This window comes from Homo sapiens, chromosome 12 (genome assembly GCF_000001405.40).
Source record: "Homo sapiens chromosome 12, GRCh38.p14 Primary Assembly".
Taxonomy (NCBI): Eukaryota; Metazoa; Chordata; class Mammalia; order Primates; family Hominidae; genus Homo; species Homo sapiens.
The window spans coordinates 20,480,980-20,506,801 of record NC_000012.12 but is presented as its reverse complement, the minus strand read 5'-3'; the positions used below and the strand labels follow the sequence as shown (position 1 = coordinate 20,506,801).

Sequence of the window (25,822 nt, the reverse complement as noted above, 5' to 3'; positions counted from 1 at the left end):
TTGATGCCATAATTTTTCAAAAACAAATAGAATTCTCTCTCTTACCAAATACTTTCCTTAGAAGTTTCATGTTACTTCTCTTATCCACTTTATGTATATTCATAGTTACACAAGATGCACATCTTAGACAATTAACCAGGTTAACGTATCAAATATCATTTCTGAAGATATGTATGAGCCAAATTATAAATTCGTCTATAAAATTATAAATGACTACAAAATATATCAAGTTTGAGAAAAAATACAATTATAAGATTCTTATTACAAACTAATCTACATGTTATGACAAAAAATTCTTGCAAAATAATCCTTTCATAAGATGATTAATAAAAATGTTTCATGTACTCATTCATACATTAAATGCCCAACACCACAGCCTCTATTCTCTGTTTGTGGGGGACAGATGCAGAAAAAAATTTCAAAATTATACAGACTGTTATACTGGAATGAAATACTGTGTGTATAGTGCATATTATTATAGAAACAACATATAAAACACCTGTTTTTTAAATGTATAGTATAACTTCCAAGGAAACAATCTGAAGTGTTAATTTTCACATGGGTTACAGTTTTATAGGTGAGGTTAGCTCAGAGAATAAACACTGACTTAGCATTAACATTTACAAAATAAATTTTTGGAGAACTCATTTGTTTAACCTGCTACACACACATACACACACACACACACACACACACACACACCTTCCTTTAGAGTTCCCATAGCTCCTTGACCCTAATATATATTATTTGGCATATTTCAATACTTATTAAATATTTTCCAAATAAATAGCCCTATCCACTGAAACCCACTATGGTCCCTAGAAACCAGTGAAGTTAGCAGACACTGGAATATGTGTTTTGGGGGCACTAACCAATGGACTTGGCGCCTTATCACCTTATACAACCAGAGTAGCTCCACATATATTTGTTTTGTATATGGCAGCTCCATGCTGCCATATACAAAAATATTTTCTTGCAAAAAGCCTTCTGCTACAAAATAACTTGGAAAACCACTGTCCTGAAGACTTCCTCATTAAAAATATATTTAGAATTATTTAGGTATTAAAGTTTCACATTTATGTAACAGAACTATGGAAAGAATAGTGAGACCATCAACAGGAACTTGGACTAACACTGCCATTCAAAAAAGAAATGGCATGATAAATCTGCTTTGTCTAATTTACCAGAAAGCTTAACATTTGAGGCAGTGCTAGGTATGATTTTATTAAACACTGAGTTCTTTTCAGTAATGTGCAAAGATTCACCATGGCACATGCTTACATTAAAGTAAATAAAACACTTCAGTACAAAAGAGCCCCCTTGAGAGGACCTAAAAATGTACCACATATGGAAAGAGAGCTCTACACTTTATAGAACATTTTTCATTGTGATCTTACTAGTCTAGCAGTTGAATTAGATTGAGTGATCATTTGCAATCTATAGATGAGCAAATGAGGTACAGTGACAAAAACAATGATTCATAAGAGATTGCAAAGTTAACAGTAGGAGAAAAGGAGACTCCTAGGTCAAGTTCCAAAAAATTGGCCATGTACCACACAGAACCCTGTCATTGTCTAATGACCTAATGCATTATGAATTTACTGTACCAGGATCTCAAGTAATAGGCCATAAATATAGGACTATAGAAAGTAATTGCTGGTTACACATTTGGAATGAAATCTAAACTTAAAAGAATGGAGCACTTCTCTTTGAGCTAAAACCTCAGACAGGTTTGGCCTAAGCACTTGTATTTGCTAAGCAAAAAAGCAACTTCCCTGTATAATTACAAGGAAAAGACCTCTGGTGCTTTCAGCTACTGGCATACACTCAGAGTGCCTGGCAGAAAAACAGCCCCCAAAGATGTCCATGTTCTAAACCCTAGAATTTGTGAATAAGTTATCGTACATGGCAAAAGTTACTTTGCAGATGCGATTAAGGATGTTGAGTTAGAGCGATGATCCTGATTTTCTGGGTGGGCCCAATGTTATCACAAGGTACTTATAAGAAGAGGCAGGAGGGCCAGAGTTAATAGTGAGAGACGTGAAGATGGTAGAAATTATAGTGATGTGATGTGAGAAGGAATCAACTCACCTTTGCCAGCTTTGAAACTGGAGAAAGAGGGTCGCAAGCCAAGGAACTTGGGCAGCCTCTAGAAGCTGGAAAAGGCAAGGAAACAGATCCCTCTCAGATACTTGAGAAAGGAATGAGACCTTGCCAGCACCTTGATTTTAGCTCCGTATGGTCCATGTCAGACTTCTGACCTACAGTTCTGTATAGTTATATAGAATTATAAAATTAATAAATTTGTGGTTTTTAATGCCATTAAAGTTTACAGTAATTTGTAATAGCAGCAATAGATAACTAATACAGTCATCTTAGAAGAATATGGTCTCTTTAATAGATGTAGAGATATTTTAAAATTTATTCAAGAAATATTCACTGAAAGTCTAAAATGTATCAGACTCCAGCATTCAGGATTAAAGAAAACTAAGACATGCTCTCTGTGGTCAGGAGTGAATAGCTTTTTCACATATATGAATTGGCTTCTGTGTACATGTTACATGTAGATACACATGTTTATCTGCATGCAGAATACCAACAGAGTAACAGGAGAAGGAAAAGGAAAATAAAGGAAAAAAGGTTTTAGAAATCATTAAGCTAACTGTACAAATGAGAAAACTATAATCCAGTCTGGCATTCATAAAGTTTAACATCCACTTTCCCAGATCTAACTAGTACTACTTTTGCTGAATTAACAAAATGAATGCAACGTGAAGTCCTCCTTAGATTCTGATATGAACAATCCCTAAATTTAGATTATGAATCAATCAGCCCTAGATGATTCTGAAGACAGTCAGTTGTCATGGTATTTTCTTTTTCAACAAAAAATTTTAAGCTAAGGAATTGATTCATATCTTCTAATTGTAACAGTAAATTACAGATTCTGTTACATTTGAAAGCTACAATTTAATGATGACACATTAAAGGTGGTTTATAAATTCTAGGGTGGTTTATAAATTCTAAAGAATATGAAAAATGATGTATATTTTAAAATTAGAACCTAAAATAAGCAAAACTATCAAACACAGAAATGTATTGAAATAAGGTAGTTATGACATAATAACATGCATCTGGACAACTTTTTTAAAATAATATTATTACGTCTGACTCTAGTCTCAAAAAATAGAAATTCAAATTAGATCACTCTATATAATAGGGAATGATCAATATGCATCTATATAATTTATATGTCTAGGACATTACCCATATCTTCTCCTGAATGGTTTCTGACTGATGGAATTTTTCTATTGTGGATAGAAAATCGATGAGGAGGAGAAAAAAGCATTTTATCTTGAATTATTTTTTTCCACAGAGTTTCAACCTCTGTAGCTGAATTTGCATCCTTCTTATATCAAAAATCTATTACAGATAAAAGTGTAGTCTTTCTATGGAATACCTGTTAAAGTCCAGGCATCAGAAACACTAGATTGATGAGTATTTAATAGTAACTGGTATTATAAACTAGTATAGAAACCAAATTTCATATTAGTATTATCTAGTATTCTAAACTAGCATATCAACCTCATAAACTTCATATATCATCTGTGGTGAACTAAGTTCTAAATACATTAAGTTTGGGAAAAAATACTACCGTGGTACTATAGAAAATCATGGATTAAATGCCTATATAATTTATATAAGGACTAAACGGTCATGATGATAATGACAATGACAGCTATAACAGTTTTCCTTGTGCCAGGCTCTGTGATACATGATCTCATTTAGGCTTCACAATAATCCAACGAGATATGCATCATCTCCATTTATAGTCGAAGAAAATGACTTAGAAAGATTAAATATCTTTCACAAAGGGACATAGCTAGTAAGTGGTATAGCTAGGATTCAAACTCTGGCCAAAGTTATGTCTGTCCAGCTCCCAAACACCACTTCTTAACCATCTTCTATTGGCAGGAGTGAATGTCCCGAAGTGTCCCTAAGCACTGAACTGTGATTCTGGTATTTATTTCCTCAATCCATGGAAATAATTGAGGAATTCAGTTAACCATTAGTTTCCTTTATACATAGTCTTAGTTTCCTTGATATAAACTGGAAAGGTTAGATTGGATGATGTTAAAACTTCTTTTTACCTCTATAGTCACTCACTTTTTCAGTCATGTATTCCATAGACAAATACACATGCATTCTATTTGCTAGACCTGCTCTAGGTGAACCAAGTAGGGAAAGTCCCTGACCTGATCACACTCTAGTAAGGAAGACAGACTACAGACAAACATTTTTTGGGGGAACTACTTCAGGAAAGGTATTTCTGGCAAGGAACATTTGAATTATGAGCAAATAAGATGACAGATTAAGTCATAGGCATATATCCTAGTAGAAGAGTTTTCTAGGTAGCGGGGATTCATTCCAATGGTTCCTTTAAAGTCTAACCATACTAGCCATCCTTTTGACTAAATATACTTTTCTGTATGATTGTGAGACTCATACCTTAAGTGATACATTTTAGATAATAAAAAGAAGTTGGAAGTGATCAGTAGCATTCAGCTGAACCTTACTCTTTCCTAGACCTGCTAATCTATAAAACTGAAAATCTACCATCTGGGAATGGAGTCAGTCACGTGATTTAATAGGAAGTACCTAACTGATACAGTAATTCATACAAAATACATCTAAGGTATTAGCCTCCTCTATAGCCTCACAAAATATATGTGATTATTATCTTTTGGATTAATATTACTCTGTGAAGTATCATTTGTAAATTAGTGAACAATTATCCGTATTCCCCAGTGCTTCAAAGTTCATTCATACAAATTGGAAAGCTTAACAAATACAGTTTATAAAAATCAGAATGAGTCTGTATATATTTAATATCATATCAGGATGCACTGCATGAAGTGGGGTGTTATTTAGCATAAGACTGGAATAATGACAGCTTAATGTGCTAAATTGATACATCAAAAGCATGATGCAATCATTTCTATTATCTTTGTTCTCAAAATCTAGAATCCTTTTTTGATTGTATTACTACAGCATCAAACTAACTTGAATTTTGCAAAATAGTCTGGAATGATCACTTAAATATTTACAATCACTAAAAAATAGCTTCATTTTTTATAAGTACTCATTAAATGAACAAAAAGTAACTCTTCTGGTATGATTTGGTAAGCAAACAAGCAAACAAAATTTAACTACCTCGCTCTACGAATAATTTCACATCACGTCTATTGAAGTAAATAGAAAGTTTTACTCCTTTTAAATAACCAAAAACTTGGCACAAACAAGGTTGTCAGAATAATTTTATTTCTATTTAGAGTAGTAATATTGCATATAACCAGTTTAAATGCTCAATCATGTATACTTCCACTACTTTAATTTTACATATAATGTGTTCACTTAGCAGTTTTCAGGCAATAAAAAAAATCTGACTTGACGCTGAGGTTATATGGATTACGGTGCTGTAGAGACTTATGTTTACAAAGATGAAGAAAATACTTCCTTTGACTTAACAAATATTTTCCCTTTTCTGATTTAATTATTCTAGATGTTTCATAAGCCCAAAGAGAAAAGTAGTACAACTCCTTGTTCACAGAATTGAGAGAACCTAGTATTAAGAGAAAAAACTTGTATGCCTGAACCATGAATCCACATTAGTACGTTATTTTCTTGTTTAGCTGTAATACTTATAAATTCTCTACAGTGAAAGAATAAAAGCCTTGGCCAGCTGCCGGGGCTCATGCCTATAATTCTAGCACTTTGGGAGACCGAGGTGGGCAGATTGCTTGAGCTCAGGAGTTCAGGGCCAGCCTGGGCAACATGATGACACCCCATCTTTACTAAAAATACAAAAATTAGCTGGGCATAGTAGCGCACACTTGTAGTTCCAGCTACTTCAGGGACTGAGTCAGGAGGATTGCTTGAACCCAGGAGGTCGAGGCTGCAGTGAGCTGAGATGGCGCCACTGTACTCCAGCCTGGGCAACAGAGCAAGACCTTGTCTCAAAAAAAAAAAAAAAAAGAAAGAAAGAATGAAAGCCTCTTACACATCGATCAATTTTTTAAAAAATTAGAGAAGTCCTGCAGCAAGATACAAATATACATATTTTTAAAACAACTTGAGGAACATATTTGATTAAACTACTACTTTACAGATTTCTGCTTAGCAACTTGGCTGAAGAATGACCCAAATAACAAACATAGAAAAAAAATCCTGAAGAAAGAAAAGAAAACATTTTAAAGGATATCACATGGAAGAAAATATTTGAAGTCTAAATAAAAAATGATTAGAGAACTAAGTTTAGATTTATGAACTGTTTTTCAGTAATATAGGTAAGTATTCTCTTCAGAGTATAAAGATAATCATCTTTTTCTTTTTAACAATGTACACAAAATGCTATTTGAGCATCAAAATGTATTGCCATCAGTTAAAAATAATAGACAATAATATTCCAAGTAAGATAAAATGCACTAAATTCGAATTAGAATATTTTGCTCTTGATGTATTCTACTTTATCATATCTAATACGGTATCTGAGTTCTCTTTTCAAGAACACCCTTGACTTACAGGAAAACTCTTAAATGTCTCCCTATACATTGACTTGGATCCAATTTTGATTTAAATATTCTCATAATACACAATAACTAATAAGTTTGAGTAAGAGAATTTTTGTGAATTTCAACAGAGTGAAAAAGAAACTCTGGAAACCTAGACAGGTGGCAGAGACTCTTGCTTCTTCGGCAGTGAAGGAGATACAGTGTAGTATGCTGGTTAAGGGCCCAAGCTTGTGTTTTAAGGTAGGCTTTGCTGGTGCCCTCAGCAAGTCATTTAATCTTGTTAAACTCAGCTCTTATCAGTAAAATTAGAATAATAGTAGGAAACAGGTGGGGTTGTGAGGATTAACAAGCGTACAGCTAAAATGCCCCACATACATTTGACCTTCGTTACCACTCAGAATGTGTTGCATGCTGTTAATTATAATAAAGGAACTAGTAATATGAGCTGAGAAAATATATGCAGGTTATATACATTGGCCAAACTAATTGAACCGTACATTTAAGACTTGTGCATTAGTGCATACAAATTGTACTTCAATAAAATAACAAGAAAATTGAATATATGTAAAGGTAGCAGAATCGGGGTGGAGAGAAAGAAAAAATGTACACTACTTGGATGACATTATTACTGGATCTTATTAACTTGAACAAGGTTAATAAGAAAGGTTTGTTTAAAATGTTTGTTTTTGCATCATTAGTCTAATTATATGAATACTAACAGTTGACCCTTAAATATATGTTATATCATAAAAATCAATTTGTTAATTTCATTTTTGTTATTATAAATTCTAAAACAGATACAAGGAACAACCTCGGGCACAATCCACAGTCAAATTGTAATCGGCATCCTTATGAAAGTCTCTCTATTCACTGCATATCTCTAACCATTTTGTAAGGGTCCATGGAAATGATATACAAAGATGACTAAAGATTAATAATTTCAAACAAGTCCACAGTAGCCAATGAGACACTATTGCACCTTAGGCACAACGTTAAGCATTTTACAAGTATTTCCTCTTATAATCTTCCCAACAATTCTACAGGAGTATGGTCTTAAATCTACCATATAAATGTGAAACTGTAGAACCGTTAGACTAAGTAAATTGTCCAAGGTCACAGGGTTGCTGATGTCAGAGCACACAACAGGACCCATCTCAGACTCCACAGGATATAATTTTTTAATCCTTACTTTCCATGGCCCCAAAAGTGCAAAAACACATGCATATGCCAATTTTCTACCAAAAAGTATAACATACAGATGATCATTGGTCCTTCTCTTTCATGACAATTTGAGGCATCAATGACTTTACATTCTTGCCTTTACTGCTGTTCCTTTTTGCATCCATACTGAGGCAGAGGGGCAGAGGAAGAAGGAAGGAAAGAAAGCAAGGAAAGAGAAAAAGAAAAACAGGAAAAGAAACATTTCCATCATTATACTCTTTATCTGTGAAAAAATGTTCAATTTTATAGGTTCTACCAGTAAGAGATAGGTTCTACCTGTAAGACAAAGCTTGAAGAAGTAAACGCCTTTTTAAAAAAACTTATGTTGAAATAATCTGAGATACAGAAAAGGGTTACAGAATACAGTCATCTCTTGATATCCATGGCAGATTGGTTCCAGGACCCTGTAGACACCAAAATCCAGGGATGCTCAAGTCCCTGATATAAAATGGTATAGTATTTGCATATAACCTATGCACATTCTCCCGTTCACTTTAAATCATCTCTAGATAACTTATAATACCTAATTCAATGTAAATGCTATGTAAATAGTTGGTATAGTCTGCTGTCTAGGGAATAATGATTTAAAGTCTGCACATGTTCAGTTCAGACACACTCACTCACTTTTTTTCTTGAATATATTTTCCATCTGAGGTTGGTTGAATCCATGGATGTAGAATCCAGGGATACAGAAGGCTGACTATACAGAGTTCCTACATTTCCTTCAGTTGGGGGGGTGGGCGGTATATTTTAATCTGCAAGCTCCACAATGCCCACCAATCTATGAGACTTGGGATTTTATATTATTTAACATTAGGGTAAATTTTCCTTTAACAACATAGGTATAGTTACCAGTTTACATAACAGAGATTATAGTGGAAAATGCTTGATATGGATAAATGGAAAAATGATAGGATATAGTTTGATAATTTTTCTAACCAGTACTCCTTTTAGCCTACCGTATAACACTACTAAATCTTTTCTGCTATAACACGTTTCTGCATAGTTAATTAGCTCATACGCAATTGGTAAACAGTGGGATAGCAAAAGATATATTGACTTACATGATTTCCTCCCCACTCCCTGAGAGCTGGTTAATGTTTAATCACAAAGTCATCACAGCAGCAGAACATAAAGTATACTAACACAATTGAACAGAACAGGGCAAAGAGTAATATATAGAGTAATCCATAAACCTTACCTGCACAGTATTCTTCTTTGTTCTATTTGATCAATGAGTCTCTAATTGGAAATACCCAATGTTTGTTTTCCTGATTTTGATGCATTTTGCATTTGCCACCCTCTGAACTCTTCTTTCCATCTCTTTTGAATAATCCACCTTCATCTTTTCTTTTTCTATGATTAGGTTTATATTGACTATATCAGTTATTTATTTATTTATTTGTACTAACATATCTTTCTAATGCCACTATTATTTTGGTTAGAATTATTATGTTTTCTCATGATCCTGTTTTTTTTTTTAGGGCACAATTTGTAGAACCTATGTTTTTTAAAAACTTTAAAATCACGTTATAGCAGAAACACCTGCCCAAGACTTTATCTTGTTAACATTAAAATAGAGGAGACTCTTAGAATACAGCCCTCCATTCAGTTAAGAGATTATGAAGAACTCATTACATTTCAAATAATCAGTTTATATATAATTTATTATAATTTAAATATGACTTCATATAACAATTGTAATAAATTATAAAAATTACTATCTGTTATATACATTTTTCAATTGAGATAAGTTATGTTTCTGGGATTGACAACTATAAAGTACTTAATCAGTTGTATCAGAATCACATTAAGTTGCTTTTGGTTTAAATCTTATGAGAATGTTTCCTAAATAATTGCATCCTCTTTAGAGCACAACTACTTACAGTTTTCATTAAAGCGATTTGACTGGCTTTTTGAGAAGAAGGATCTAATAATATAGCTTCCATTATAGAATAAGCGCCCACTTCAACACGTAACATAAACACCCAAGATAACGCTGAAACTTTGAGATACTACAGCAAGTGGAATTCAAGTACAAGGCGTCCTCATGGAACTTCTCTTATGTTTCCTGAGTTCATCTCCCTGCTAAGAGCATCATTAGTAAGATAAATTACACTCTTCTGGAATCTGTTCAACTTTCTCTGTCACTTTCATATAGTATATATTTATTTGTCCTATATTTTAAAAAATCCTGCAGCCATGGTTGAAGACTTTTCTCTTTGAGCACAAAGCCCATATTCGTGAAAGATAGAAGCTAAAGTTCAGTACCAATATCTTTTCTATCCAACATAGCAAAGCAAAGCAAAATCTAAAAAAGTATACTTCTTAAACCCTGAAGTCAGGCACTTAATTTTGGATGAATTCCAACAACGGAACGTGGACAGCTCATTGATAAGAGCCAAAATAAATTCTTAGTATGGATCCCAAAAGAATTTGGCCCATGAGGTAGCAGAGAGAGAATTCGGGGTGTTGCGGGGTGGCGGTGGGGGGTGGGATGTGGAGTACCCAGGTCCATGAGAACATCAGGAATCAGAGCTGTCACGTCAGATCTCTGAGAATTGTGTTGGTTTGTTTGTGGAGGTGGTTCTACTACAGTGACCTGAAGTCCTCTTGAACAAGTTCTAAGGAGCATAATGGTAACTAGCCAACCATGTTTTCATCTGTGTAAGGGGGCTTGTCCACTTATACCACAATGGCAAAGGATGGCTCTGGCCTTTCAATAATAGCAGGTTTTTGAGCTTATCACTTCATCACTTCATTTATGCATCCACACATCAAACATATGGAATACTTAATTGGTATCAGGCACTCATCTATCTCTTTCCTCCTTACTGATGAGACAGATAGTGTGCACAGAACAGCACATGATTTCTTGAGTAAGTAGCACAGAATCAGCTCCCATTTCTCACCATTTCTCACAGTATTCTGTAACCTTTGCTTATTTGTACTGACATTAAGAGTACGAAAGAGGGGGAAATGTGAATCAAATTCAGTATTATTATAGTCTGATGACAATGAGAATAAAAATTAAATGATTTATTTTAACATGTAGAATTCCTTTAGTGCAATAACAGAAATTCAACAAACTCCTCTCTCTTTTTGATGAACAGTTAAATGTTGTCCATTTAGTTTCTTATCAAAGAAATCCAATTAAAAAGTTACCAGGCACTCTCCTACATTGCTAGTGGGAGTGTAAATTGGTACAACCTTCTTAAAAAGCAATCTGGCAACATATACAGAAAGCTTAAAAGTATTCCTACCATTTGGCCTAATAATTCCACTTCTAGGAATATTCTGTAAAGAGATGTTCTGCAACTTGAAGTGTTTTATACAAAACTTTTCATGTCATTATTAATTGTAGTAGGGAAAAGTCGAAAACAACAAAAATGTCTAACAAGAGAGAATGTTATGTAATAGCCATAGAAAAAAATTGGCACATGACCATTAAAAATGTTTTTGAAAACTTAATACAGAAAAAAATGCCTGTGAAACAGACAAGTTTAAAAGGAATATTCAAAATTAAGTATATTGTTCTATGTAAAATATATAAAATGATGAAGACACATAAAACATTAACTACTTATCTTAGGTTAATTAGATTATAGTTGTTTCTTTGTATGATTCTACCTTTCAAAACACTGAGCTTGTGGTCACAAATTAAAGAAATCCAAAATCTGGTACAATGAAAGCATTTTAAGTATTTAGCTGTTATGCTAAGTGCCAGCAATAAAGGTTCAAGCCAGAGCCCAGACAACTAGATGAACAGAACTTGTATTGGTGACCACAAGAAGAATGGTCAAGAAAACAGGAGAGGAAAGAAGAGGATAGCAGAACTCCAAGCAGGCATTGATTGAACACATTTCAAACAGGCAGACTTAGGGCAAAGGAGAGTATATAAAAATTCATGGAACATTCTCTTGTCCACTGTCCATATGGAAGAATTCTCAAATTGAATGATTTTAGACAGACACTATGTTTAAATAAATAAATAATGATTCAGAATCGGTTTCTTTACATGAATCACATTTGTGCTAAGTAACTTATCTGATGAAACACAGTTGTACTGAATTTAGAACAGACTGCCATCAATGCCATCAAAACATAGGGCTTCTATTTATGTATTTTTTTTTTTTTTTGCGGAATTGTTTAAAATATTATTTTCTCCAATTCTCTTCAATTACCTTTAGCAAACACTGGATGGAAACCTTTTTATTAAGCCTAAATTGTCTACTACAGGGCAAAATAGTCCTAAATATTTCAGTGCAGAACGACATGTATTACTTTCCACTCCAATTCTGCCCAGAAGTAGGAAAGCAGGAAATAAATGTCACTTGTTTTCACACTTGGTCAACTTGAACTGGTAACATTTATTCCATAGGAAAGGAAAGTCATAATTTATCATGTAAGGAGAAATAAGTTTGAGGACAAAACTATACACACACACAACACAGAGACACACAAACACACACAGAGACACACATACATAACACTCACGAGATACATTATTCTGTTAAGAAATGTACCTACACACAGCATGAGTTTCAAGTCACTCACCTATAATTATGTTTCTCTGACCACATTACAATAAAATCAAACACTGAAAATATTTGGCCCTGAATTTGATTACACAGCTATCAATATTTTCATAAACAATATGAAACCTAAGTGCAGGGCATATGGTGGTATCAAGAAAATATTTTAAAAGCTCTTCTTCAATAAAGTTAAAGGTCATGTAAAAACTCTATAAACTTTTTCTCTATAAAATTGAATTGGGTTAGGACCAAGAAAAATAAAAGGCTTCAGCCACTTGAATATTTGTACTAATGTCACTCATTTACATTCCTTCTCATCAGAGAGCGGCCTGAAGACAACTTAATCTAGATGACTCAAAATACACAAAACTCACTTGCTTCACTTGAATCCAAAATTAGAGGTTAGAAGTTCAAATGTTACTACAGCATTGTGCATAATGGTAAAATACTGAAAATAGTCTGAATCCCCTTGTAAACAGAAAGGTTTAAGTGTATTCTGGTATATCCATACATTGGAATACTCTGAAGCCATTGAAAAGTAGTTTGCGGCCAGGCGTGCTGGCTCACGCCTGTAATCCCAACACTTTGGGAGGTCGAGGCAGGCGGATCACCTGAGGTCAGGAGTTCGAGACCAGCCTGACCAACATGGAGAAACCCTGTCTCTACTAAAAATACAAAATTAGCTGGGCTTGGTGGCGCATGCCTGTAGTCCCAGCTACTTGGTAGGCTGAGGCAGTAGAATTGCTTGAACCTGGGAGTCGGAGGCTGCGGTGAGCTTAGGTTGCGCCATTGTACTGCAGCCTTGGCAACAAGAGCAAAACTCCACCTCAAAAAAAAAAGAAAAGTAGTTTGTGAATGGGTGTGAGTGTGAATGTGTGGAGAGAGAGAGAAGTGAGGCACATCTGTGTGTGTTTGTGTGTCTGTATATGTACATATAGTCAACCCTTGGTATCTCAGGGGAATTTGCTCTAGGACCCTCATAGATAAATAGCATAGTATGTGCACATAACCTATACACATCCTTTCATATGCTTTAAATCATCTCTGGATTACTTAAAATACATAATATAATGTAAATGCTATGTAAGTTCTATTTTTATTTATATTATTTTATTGTTGTACTGTTATTTTTTCTAATATTTTCTATTCACAATTGGTTGAATCCACAAAGGCAGAACACACAGATACAGAGGGCTGACTGTCCATATATGTATATGTACATATACAGACAGAGAAGGAGGTGATCAAGATACACTGCTAAGTAAAAATCAGAAACAGCTAAAAGGTGCATGTAAAATTAATTCATAATTCATAAATGAATTAATCTATAAAGTGTTAATGATACTATTAACAATATTTGCTGACTAATTTCTATACAGGTGGTACTCACCTACACATTTCATACATATTAACTTATTTAACTCTCATAATAACCCTATATTATTGGTTCTATTATTCTCCTCTTTAAATCAATAAGGAAAATAAAGCACAGAGTTACTAGGAAACACAGTGCCTTGCTAGCAAACACAGCTAGTAAGTGTTTTTGCTTTTTGCTTGTAAGTCTTTATTCCCGCCACCACCACCCCACCCTTACTCATCTCCTTCCTTTTCCTCTGCCCTAAAGAGGCTGATTTTACAAATTACAACACCTGGATTCTGGAGTCCATGGATCTTGTTAGGATTCAGCCCATGACAGTAACCATCAGTGAGTGTGGAATAAAAGAAAGGAGGTTGAGGTGAGTATTTATAATCACCCCTCGCTGCCCTGCCCCCACCTGCTCAGTGCAGCAGCGTAATCCAATAGTGGCTGCATTTCTCTACCCATAGCCACAGCTCCTGTTCAGTAGCCCCTTTCCCACAGGCACTGCTCTCACTGGGTCTCAGTTACACCTCCCTCTCCTCGTGCCTTTGGTCCTAGTGATAACCACTTTCACTTTTTGGGCACCCAGGTTGCCTCATCATTCCTTGTTGCTTTTCTTAATACTTCTATAACTAGGTACTTCCTCAAAGTCTTCAATGACCCCTGAGTCATCTATTTCCTGCCCAGACTGTGACTCATACATATAGCAGACAGGATTCGAACCCAGACACTGTGGCTCCAGAGGCTGTGCTGTGCTTCTACTCACCCTGCAATACTTCCTGCCTCCCCCACTATGCTGGTCTATGTGTCATTTTAGTATTGAAAGACTACTAGGACTGCTGCAGTGGCTCACACTTGTAATCCCAGCACTTTGTGAGGGCGAGGTGGGAGGAGGATCACTTGAGGTAAGGAGTTTGAGACCAGCTTGGACAACGTGGTGAAACCCCATCTCTACTAAAAACACAAGAATTGGCTGGACGTGGTGATGCACACGTGTAATCCCAGCTACTCAGAAGGCTGAGGCATAAGAATAGCTTCAACGTGGGAGATGGAGGTTGCAGTGAGCTGAGATCGCACCACTACACTCCAGCCTGGGCAACACGGCGAGACTCTGCCTCAAAAAAAAACTCTCTGTACTAAATTATCGTCAGGAATTTTCTCTGGGAAGTAAGATTACAACAGGGAATTTAAATCTGTATATTTTATAGTTCTACAACATTTGAATTTTATTATTTCTCAAACAAAAACGCAGTAACATTGGACACTACTTACTACTACTAACTACTACTGTAAAGAGATTCGATTATACCGGTAGAGTAACCTAGCTAAGGCAGACAATCCACTTTGTAGTTAAATATTACTTGACAATCTTAACTACAAGGTCTTTCCATAAAGTATGAATAATCATTCTCTAACACAGAGGTCTAGACAATGTGTTGCAGGTTTGTTACCCAGTATGATGCCTACATGACATAGGTGAATTTCTATCCTTCCTTAACTCTGTTTATCTTTAAAAATGGGACACCTGAGGTCAAAAGTCCCCCTAGTGACCAAACTGGCCAAGACTAGCGGGATCCAAGATGGCAGCTTTCTTGACCTCTGAAGAAACTCTAACTTCGTTATAATCTAATTTTCATGCTAAATGATACACCTCACAGCACCATGACAGTTTACAATCACCATGACAACAACCCATTGAAACAAAAGGTGGGGGAGGGAAGGCAGCACTCTGGTTTTGAGGAGTTCTCTGCCCGTTCCCAGAAGAAAACACGAATGTTCGTCCCCTTATTTTTAATACCCAACCCTTTCATTAGAGATGCCTGTTTCTGTGACTTCCCAGCTCTCTTGAGCTTCTCAATCCCATGCCATCAATAAAGCCTGCACTGCTAGATGTTCACTTTCGGTTTGGGTATTGGTTTTGTGGCACTGAATCGGCAAAGATGCCATTTTGATGGGAAATTGCTTTGTTGGTAACATATTGATCTTCTTGGACTGAAAAGAAAAATTCTTGAATAGAAAAGTATTAAAGGATTTTTTTGAGTCAGGCTCACTCTGTTTCCCAGGCTAGATTACAGTGGGCCTCAAACTCCTGGGCTCAAGTAATCCTCCTGCCTCAGCCTCCTGAGTAGCTAGGACTACAGGCACATACCGTCATATCTGGCTAATTTTTATTTGGTACAGACGGGGTCTCACTATGTTGCCCAGACTGGTCTCAAACTCCCCGGCCTCAAGTGATCCTGGGCCTCCCAAATAACTGAAATCACAGGTATGAGCCACCACCCCTGGATTAAAGGATCATTAAATTATTGTTTCTCCTGTTTTGATAAGGTACCAAAGAGCTATTAGGATCTAGCTCTTCTAATGGGACGAGAACCAACAGAAAGAAATGTTTAATATTATACTTCTAATGTTTAAACAACAGATTTTAACCACCACAGAATTTTATGGTCTTCTTTGGGACATTGCTGATGTTCAATATAGTAAATTTGCTTTGAATTGCATCAAATCTCTAAACTCTATAAGGTATATTTTATAGGGGACTGGAGTCTAAGTTGCACCTCAGCCTCATGATTGCTAACCTAACCTCAACTCTTGATCTGCTTAGCCACTGTGCTGAGAAGCCTTATATTCTCCTTTCCATGCAGCAAACACAATGTGCTCATGTAACTTCTCCAATATTACAAGTTTCCTCCAGAAATGGCCTTGAGCAAGAAAAAGGAATTCAATATGAACAATTTTGCCTCATCACTAGACACTTTGGAATGTATGTGTCCTTTCCAAATATTCAAGGATCACTGTTGTAATTTTCCTGCTAGGTAAAGGAAATTTCAATATCCATTTTTAAATGGCAACCAAGAACTAATAACAGATATGTTTTCCTGACACTACATGGCTCAAGCAATGTTTTATATTAGCACCTAACACTAAATTAACCAAATTCATTCAGGGGAAAAAATCATACAAACTCAATCTTTCTTCTTCAATTCTTTCAATCTTTCACCTCCTCTCAATGTGAAATGTTAAACCCATCAATTATATATATGGTATTTCCTAAAAGATGAATCTAGCTTACCAGAAAAAAATACAAACCCAGAACTCCCCCATCTCTAGGTATAGAAAGCCTCCAGATGTCACTCAAATCCAACTCTCTTACCAAGGATTTACTAATGAATGACTGCCAGCAGTGAATATACTCTGGCCCCAAATCCTTCTGCCTCTATGACGTCAACACCTCCACAGCCCTGTGTTTCCTGAGCAAACATGTGGGAAAAATTCAGGTCATTCATTATTGGGGCATAAATGTTAACAATCAATGTCTCCCAGCCATAGCTGTTATCCTGACCTAAGACCCATCTGTCATCAACATCTAAATCAGTGAACATTATTTTCTGACTTAATTTTGCTGGAATAAAGCCATTTTGTCTGTAGGTGAGGCAAAAAAGGGGATTAACTATAAATTTTAAGTAAATGACATATCTTATGATCACATATATAAAACATCAGTTAGGCATTAATATATCTAAGCACAAATTATTTCCCCTCCTCTGTAGAGACTGATAGCCATGTACTGATTTTTCTTCCTTTCATATATAGAATATACATAGGACAAACCAAATAGTTATTTTATCTCATTTTCATGGCTACAATAGTTTACTGAGACCCAAAACAATGTTTTTTAAATCAAAATGGTAATAAGACTCTGGCATAAAGAAGGCTGTCATTTCTCATGCCCACCTCAAGACTTGCTTCTGCTGTCAGGGGCTGCCTGACAGGCTTACTGGCTATAACGCTCCAACTTTGTAAATCACAGCCAGACTCAGTCTTCACTAGGCATTTTCTGTATTCATCTCTAGAAACAACAAAATGAATGCATCCATTCTCTTGTCCATGCACGCAAATGAAAATAAAATACGAAGTCCTTAATGAAGGAAAGAAATGACTAAGAGAAAATAACTGCAAGTAAAAATCTATACTTAACTGTAAACTGAAGACATTTACATAGCCCAATTCAGATTCAGAGTGTGTTACTGATTTTGGAGTACGGTATTTGGAAATCTCTTTTATGATTCTCAAACAATTGATGTATTCCAGAAGAATTATTCGTTGATTGCTGAAGAATTATTAGTGAAAACTACTTACTAAAATATAAAATATCGCTTTGAACCTGGATACTTCTGGCATAATGATCCAGAATCATTAGGGGAACTGCTTCTTTTTCTCTTTTTTTTTTTTTTTTGGAGACAGGGACTCACTCTTGCCCAGACTGCAGTATAGTGGTGCAATTACAGCTCACGGCAGCCTCAACCTCCCAGGCTCAAGCAATCCCTCTATTCAGCCTCTCGAGTAGCTGGGACTACAGGTACACGTGGTGGCTTTGTACCTACAGTATACTCGAGAGGCTGAGGTAATTATTTGTTGTTATTGTTATTTTGTTTTTGTTGTTGTTGTTGTAAAGATGTCTCACTGTGTCACTCAGCCCGGGCTTGAACTCCTGGGTTCAAGGGATTCTTCCCCCTCGGCCTCCCATAGTGCTGGGATTACATACTGGTGTAAGCCATTGCACCAGCTGCGAATTGCATCTTGCTTTCCATACTGAAGAAGCTAATTCTTTTAAAAGCTTGTTCACTTAAAGAGAGATATTTGTCTCATGAAAACCAAAACAAAGTTAAATTTTTTAAATGTGAGTGAAGGTCGGCTTAATTTAACAAAGATCTGTAATTAGCAATTAAATGGAATCCTTAAAAATAAATATCAAGAATTCCTGTTCACCAACACTGAACAACACTGTCATATGCTTTTTTCAAATGGTGTGACTGGTATCATCCATTGAATCAAAGAAAACCCCAAACTCCACAATCAGGATAGGACTAATTTTGGAGGCATAAGGGGAGATTGGGTGGGGATGTTGGTAGAGTACGTGAAAAAGAGAGAGGTTGACTGGGAGGAAGAAGGTAAAAAGGATAATATAGTGCCCCTCTTGCCCCCCAAGAGTAAAGAGCTCAAGGAAAGGGTATTTTTGTTTTATTTGGTTTTAAGTGTTGTGCATTTCATAATGCTCCTGGGTAACGCTATAGATAGTATCAATGTCAATAGGAAGGAATATGCATTATGCTTTTATTTTTAATTATATTTGCTCTATGTGAAGAAACATAAAAACATAATTCCAACTGATGAGAATATATATCAATATGAGCTGTATTAAAAACTGTGTGAAAAACTTCAAAATGGGCAAAAAGAAAAAACATGACAAATTAGTAGGTTCCCTGACTAGCTCATGCATTTCTCTGGCTTTTATTGTCTTTGAGCCATTTTACAACTCTGAAAATAATAGAAACTGACAGCAATCTCATTTACTAACAGAAAAATAACAAAAATAGAAATGGATGTTGTATCCATTGGAATGCAATTGAATATTGCCTTGTAGAAACTGACCACTTTTTTTATTTATTTATTTTTTTTTCTTAAGCCTGAGTCTCTCTCTGTTGCCCAGGCTGGAGTGCAGTGGCGCAATCTTGGCTCGCTACAACTTCTGCCTCCTGGGTTCAAGCAATTCCCCCACCTCAGCCTCCCAAGTAGCTGGAATTAATTTTTTTTTTTTTTTTTTTTTTTTTTTTAGTAGAGACAGGGTTTCACCATGTTGACCAGGCTGGTCTCAAACTCTTGACCTCAAGTGATCTGCCTATCTCAGCCTCCCAAATTGCTGGGATTACAGGCATGAGCCACCGTGTCCAGCCTTATGCACCTTTTTGTAAATTCATTTAGCACTTCTTTTCTGACTTTAAATGTATGTGATACTTTAACTTCTCATTTGAATCAGTTGTAACATCTTACTGGTTCCCTCATTAATCAATCAGTTAAATGGAATTTTGGGCATACATTCATTCATATTTGTATAAGTCATAATTTATTTAAATTATTCTTTAGTTCTACACATAGGCATGTGAACACACACTCACAGACACTACGCCAGTCAAATTTAATATTATATTATGCTTGGATTTTAAGTACTTCTCTTCACATACTTCTCTTTATTTTTTAAAATTTGTTCAGTAAGCATTGATTATTTCAATAATTAGAAACAAAGTTTTAAAAAACTATGAAAAAAATTCAAGTAATGCTTTGAAAGTCTCTACACGTATCTCTAACTCTCAAACAAACATGTGATTTTAATATCTGTGATTAAGCCAAGCGTGGTGACTCATGCCTGTAATCCCAACACTTTGGGAGGCCAAGGCAGGCAGGTCACTTGAGGCCAGAAGCTGGAGACCAGCCTGGCCAACAGGGTGAAACCCCATCTCTACTAAAAATACAAAAACTAGCCAGATGTGGTGGCACATGCCTGTAATCCCAGCTACCTGGGAGGCTGACGCATGAGAATTGCTTGAACCTGGAAGGCGGGGGTTGCAGTGGATTGAGATTGCACCACTGCACTCCAGCACAGGTGACAGAGCAAGACTCTGTCTCAAAAAAACAAACAAATAAGCAAAAATCTTGGATTAGGTGAACCACATAGAAGCAGCCAGTTTCTAAATCACCACATCTATCATATTTTCCTTTTTAAAAACATGAGGAACATATACACTGGGAAGTAAGAATTGTTAATCTTAATGAATGTATCCCTCTGATATGGTTTGGCTGTGTCCCCACTCAAAATCTCATCTTGAATTGTAATCCCCATGATTCCGATGTGTCAAGGGAGACACCAAGTGGATGTAATTGAATCATGGGGATGGCTTCCCCATGCTATTCTCATGATAGTGAGTTCTCAAGAGATCTGATGGTTTTAAAGTGTTAGGCAGTTCCTCCTGTGTTCATTCTCCTTCCTGCCACCTTGCGAAGAAGGTGCATTGCTTCCCCTTCACCTTCCACCATGATTGTAAGTTTCCCGAGGCCTCCCCAGCCATGTAGAACTGTGAGCCAATTACAGCTCTTTCCTTTATAAATTACCCAGTCTCAGGCAGTTCTTTATAGCAGTGTGAAAACAGACTAATATATGCTCTATCAATATAAATGTCAAGGCAATATATTTTTAAAGGTCTATCAGCGATAGGCTAAAATAAGAATTTATAAATGTGCTCTAAAAGAACAACTATCCCTTGGATTTTATTAGGAGAAACACTAAAATATTAACAAAACCTCAAGCCGTGGCATCCAAATAGTAGTGAAGTAAGGTCCTTAGTCTTGTTGGTCAGGCCACAGACTCCTCAGTTGTTCCAAAGAACTCATCTGAATGATTGGATTTACAGTTTTGTTTTATTTTTTGCTAATCCAGAAAAACACAAATCTTTGTACTCCATAGCCTGCCATATTAAAAAAGAGCACAAATGCATTAAAGATAGTAATAATACTTAAAAGCAAAATTAAGTATATAAGTAAATACAAAAAGGTAAGTAAATGTCAGAAGGTTATAAGAACATTGATTTCATGTAAATGTAGATAGGTGAATCCTTAAAATGTGCTAGTTTTCATGTCAATATCAGCAGAGAGTTCATTATGAAATCTCAGTCCATTTTCTTACTAAATAACCCAGTATACTCGAATGAATAATCTTACTTTGTCTTATTCTAAGCCCTGAGAATATAAAGTACTCTGAAAATGTATTAACACTAATCAAAAAAGGACAAAACAAAGTTTCAGAATTCTTATGGGTTGAATTGTGTCCCCCCTAAAAAAAAACATATTTGCAGTTCTAATCCTCAGTGTGAATAAACATGACCTTATTTGAAAATAGGGTCATTGCTGATGATCAAGTTGGAGTCATTAGGCTAGGTTCCAATCCAATATGTCTGTGTCTTTATAAAAAAGAAATTTGGATTCAGAGACAGACATATAAAAAGAGGCATGGGAAGAATGCCATTACAAGCCAAGGAATGCTTGAGTCCCCAAAAGCTAGGAGAGAGGCACAGAATAGATTTTCCCTCGCAGCCCTCAGAAAGAACCAACTTGCTGACACCTTGATCTTCGACTTGCAGCCTCCAGAACTGTGGGACAATGCATTCCTATTGTTTAAGCAGCACAGTTTTTGGTACTTTGTGACAACAGCCCCAGGAAACTAATACAAAAATTGACATTTCATTGTCTAATTTCACATGCTACTTTTGATCTCAATAAAATATGCTGAAAGTTTGCTATTCTCTAAACATATTAAGAATGAATGACCAAGGTATTTTCTCAAGACTCATTTCTTTCCTCCAAATTCACCACCCATCAACACACAAACCACACCAAGAAAAGGAACAAAAATAAATAAATAAATCTTTGAAGATGATATAGTAATTTTTTAAACACGAATTACAACTGGCCTTTCTAGTCATCCGTACGTCAATGACCATTATTAGTTATGTTCCCTTAACATCAGTGATTTCACCCTTTACAGCCATACTTTCAAATTCTGAGGCCATTTCAAAGTGTATGTTTTATCCTACGTATAAAAATTAAATGAGCTAACGTAATAAAGAACAAAAGGTAAAAGACAAAGCAGAAAGTTTAAACAAAATTCAAGTCAAAAATTGCTGAAATGTTGATTAAACCTAATGGAGCTCATTAGCCATTAATAGATACCAGTGTTAAAGTGAAAAAGAATAAGCACATTGTGTTCTACAGAGAAACCCCTTTCCTTCAGAAATCACAGATACGCCAAAAATCACATTTTCCCTTACCCAATATGATGAGAAATTGTACAAGAGAGATACGTTGATTTGGGGGAACACTGATTATACTTAACTCTGTTTTTATTACAAATGGGTTTTATTTAATAAGCAACAGTTAAAATATTAAAGAAAAACCTTATATAAAAATTAAAACAGACTATTACTGAATTATATACATACCACTAAGCATAGCATACTTTTAAGAGATAAAAATCCCAAGGAAATTATAGTAACTACTTTGTTTAACTCAGAGGGACTAGTTTGAGGAGGGGAGATACAAATTTGTATGTATTGCAGAATTCTGTCTGCATGACCTACTATATAAAGAAATTAAGTACTTAGGTAACAGCTAAAAATATTCCAATATATACACAAGGAGATTTTTGAAAATACTCCAGAAAGAAGGCAAAATTTAAAGAAAAAACAAAAACAAAAAACTGTTCACTAAGCTATGAGTCAGTTGGATATGGGAGGAGTAAAGGAACCAGCAGGCTAGGAGGTTCCAGGCAGCCTGCTCACACATCCAGAGCCCTATAGACAAGTCTTACATGAGGAAAGTTAAAAGCATTATACATTTTTAAAATCACATTTTAAATGTCTATACATCTGCGCTCATAATTTTATCTGGAAGATAAAAGGCTATGAGAAGTAAAACATGTTGAGATTGGAACAAATATTAGATAATCCATCATTAATATTTATCTTTCCCTCCAAATTTTTCTTTGAGTTCAAAAAAGATTGAATTTTAATCTATACAGGAAGATGATTTCTCCATAACAATTAAACTAGAAAGTAGATTTCTAAACATTACAGTAAAAACAGAGTAATATAAGGAAATAGGAAAGGAACATCATGTGCTTTACATTTTAATAAAATACGTCAAAGATAAAAGTATCTCTCTATATTAAAAAGTCAAAGTTCTAATTCAAGTAACACATACTTGATACTGGGTTATTCTCAAAGCAGATACCATTTTACATGAATGAGCGTGATTTTTTTCTTCTCATTTGCAAGTCATTTGCCAGAATTTGTTACAGCTTACAATCTTTTAGAAGTTTGTTTGTTTTTTGTTTTTGTTGAGATGGAGTGTCGCTATGTCAACAGGCTGGAGTGCAGTGGTGCGATCTCGGCTCACTGCAACCTCCGCCTCCGGGGTTCAAACAATTCTCCTGGCTCAGCCTCCCCGGTAGCTGGAACTACAGGCGCCCACCACCACGCCCAGCTAATTTTTGTATTTTTAGTAGAGACGGGGCTTCAACATTTTGGCCAGGATGGTCCCGATATCCTGACCTCGCGATCCGCCCACCTCGGCCTCCCAAAGTGCTGGGATTACAGGAGTGAGCTACCGCGTAAGGCCTCTTTTAGAAGTTTTGAGATGAAGACTGATATGTAGGCATCAAATCTCCTTAGTAATGTTGTCTGAAAAAAGGATGTCTAGGAAAAGCAGTGCTATAAAGAGAGGAAATACAACTTTTATGTTTTAAAAAAATCAAGCAGAAACTTTTATTTGCCTAATTCCTACGTCATATCGTACTTTGCACTTTCTAGGAAAAAAATCTTTCCACAGAAACATGAAACATTGCTTTTGAAAGACTAGAAGCAACCAACTAAAAATTAAGCAATTGTTGCAAATTAAATCTGTAGTACAGCTGCATCCATTTAAAAAGAGCAGCTGCTGAAGAAATAAAAGTACATTCTCTGCATCAAACTACAAAACATTCAAAAACATAGTGACATTTGATTAAATGGATATTTATTAGAGACAGTTCCATATGGCTTTTACATAGATTCTTTCACATAAACACCAGCTTCTCTTTTTATGTTAGAAGTTGAGAAGTGCTTATCTCTAAAACAGTCAGACATACTTAGTTCCAATTTTGTCCATTGAGAAAAAAACTTTTATTTTAATGTGTATTATAGCTCAGCCAGCTTGATTATGTATAGCTGGGCTTCAATGTTTTGCACTGTTCAACTTTGTGTGCCAGAATCTGCTTCTCTTCATCTGAAACTCTTCTTATTCCTCAACTTGAACATGATTTTTTTCTTTCCCTACATGTGCCCAAGTAAAACACTGAAGTAAAGCTCATTCAAGAGAAAAGCACACTTATAGAAATGAGGGAATTTCTCTATGCCATGGCCTTCTGGTAAGTTATTCTGGAACAAAAATATTTGTGTTCCTATATGGCTTAGAAACATTCTTCTACATCAGGTTTTTTTTTTTTACAGAAAAAAAAATACATGTGTGCAATGAATACTTTTAGTCACTAAAATACTTTTCATTTCTTAGTTAAATGATCAATTATGTAATCACACGAGTCAAAACAACAGGGAGAAATAATCTTGTGCTTTCTGTACTTGTTAGAGAAAATTACTTGGGGACCTTGTTAAAAATATCTATTTCTCGCTGAGCGTGGTGGCTCACGCCTGTAATCCTAGCACTTTGGGAGGCCGAGGCAGGTGGATCACGAGGTCAGGAGATCGAGACCATCCTGGCTAACACGGTGAAATCCCGTCTCTACAAAAAATACAAAAAATTAGCTGGGCGTGGTGGCGGGCGCCTGTAGTCCCAGCTACTCGGGAGGCTGAGGCAGGAAAGCGGCGTGAACACGGGAGGCGGAGCTTGCAGTGAGCCGAGATCGCACCCCTGCATTCCAGCCTGGGTGACAAGAGACTCTGCTCAAAAAAAAAAAAAAAAAAAAAATCTATTTCCCAAGTCACTTACATGGAGAATCTGAATAAATTGTTGAAGCCGAAAATCTGTAGAGTTTGGGGGATTTGTGAAGAGATGCTCTAAGCAATAAATGGGATTCATGTCAATGTTCTTAAAAATACATAAATATTAAAATGCTTCCTTTACTTATTTTTGCTGGCTGTTTCATTGTGTTACTCTATATGTAGCTAACAAAGAGTAGGTCCTATAGTACCCCAGTTATGATTAGGGATTGATCTAATAGGGCAAGAGTCTTCTTATCCAAATGACTAGGACTAGTTAATAACAACAACAACAACAACGTCAGTAAATACAGTTGAAAGAGCCACATAAAGCAAATAATCATGTTTAATAATTAAATGAGCATATAATAAATATTCAGTTTCAACTTGAAACATTCATTATTCAGACATTCATTCACCAATCTTTCTATGAAGGGCTAAAATCCTGCAAGGTTTAGGTCTCCTACTCTCTATTTCATGTCACCTTTAGAAGAAAGGTAATTTAAACATCTGTAATGCTGCACAGTTATTTGATTACAGTTTTACCCACAGTCCCTAATTATTTCATCTACACCTCAGTTAACATATATGCTGTATCTACTTTGCCTTCATCAAGTCTTTCAAAGAAAGCATTCAATCAAGTTTTCATAGAAACAACAACATTATTTTTGGCTTATATTTCAGTGGTTTATATAATTTTTAATTAAATTCTGCAATTACAACACTAAGGAAAAGTGGCATAAACTGGCCAGGTAACCACCACAATTGATGAAC

At 35.6% G+C, this 25,822-nt stretch overlaps 1 protein-coding gene across 3 annotated transcripts in view; it reads right to left on the bottom strand.

The window, feature by feature from the left end:
• PDE3A (phosphodiesterase 3A) overlaps positions 1-25,822 on the bottom strand; it is a 320,047-nt gene that overhangs the window by 181,782 nt on the left and 112,443 nt on the right. Inside the window, exon 2 of one of the 3 annotated variants that reach the window (NM_001378408.1) lies at positions 2,092-2,156. The exons of the other annotated variants lie outside the window; for them this stretch is intronic. The gene's annotated coding sequence lies outside the window, so the exon portion shown is untranslated. The remainder of the gene's footprint in view (positions 1-2,091; positions 2,157-25,822) is intronic. 3 annotated transcript variants of the gene reach the window in all.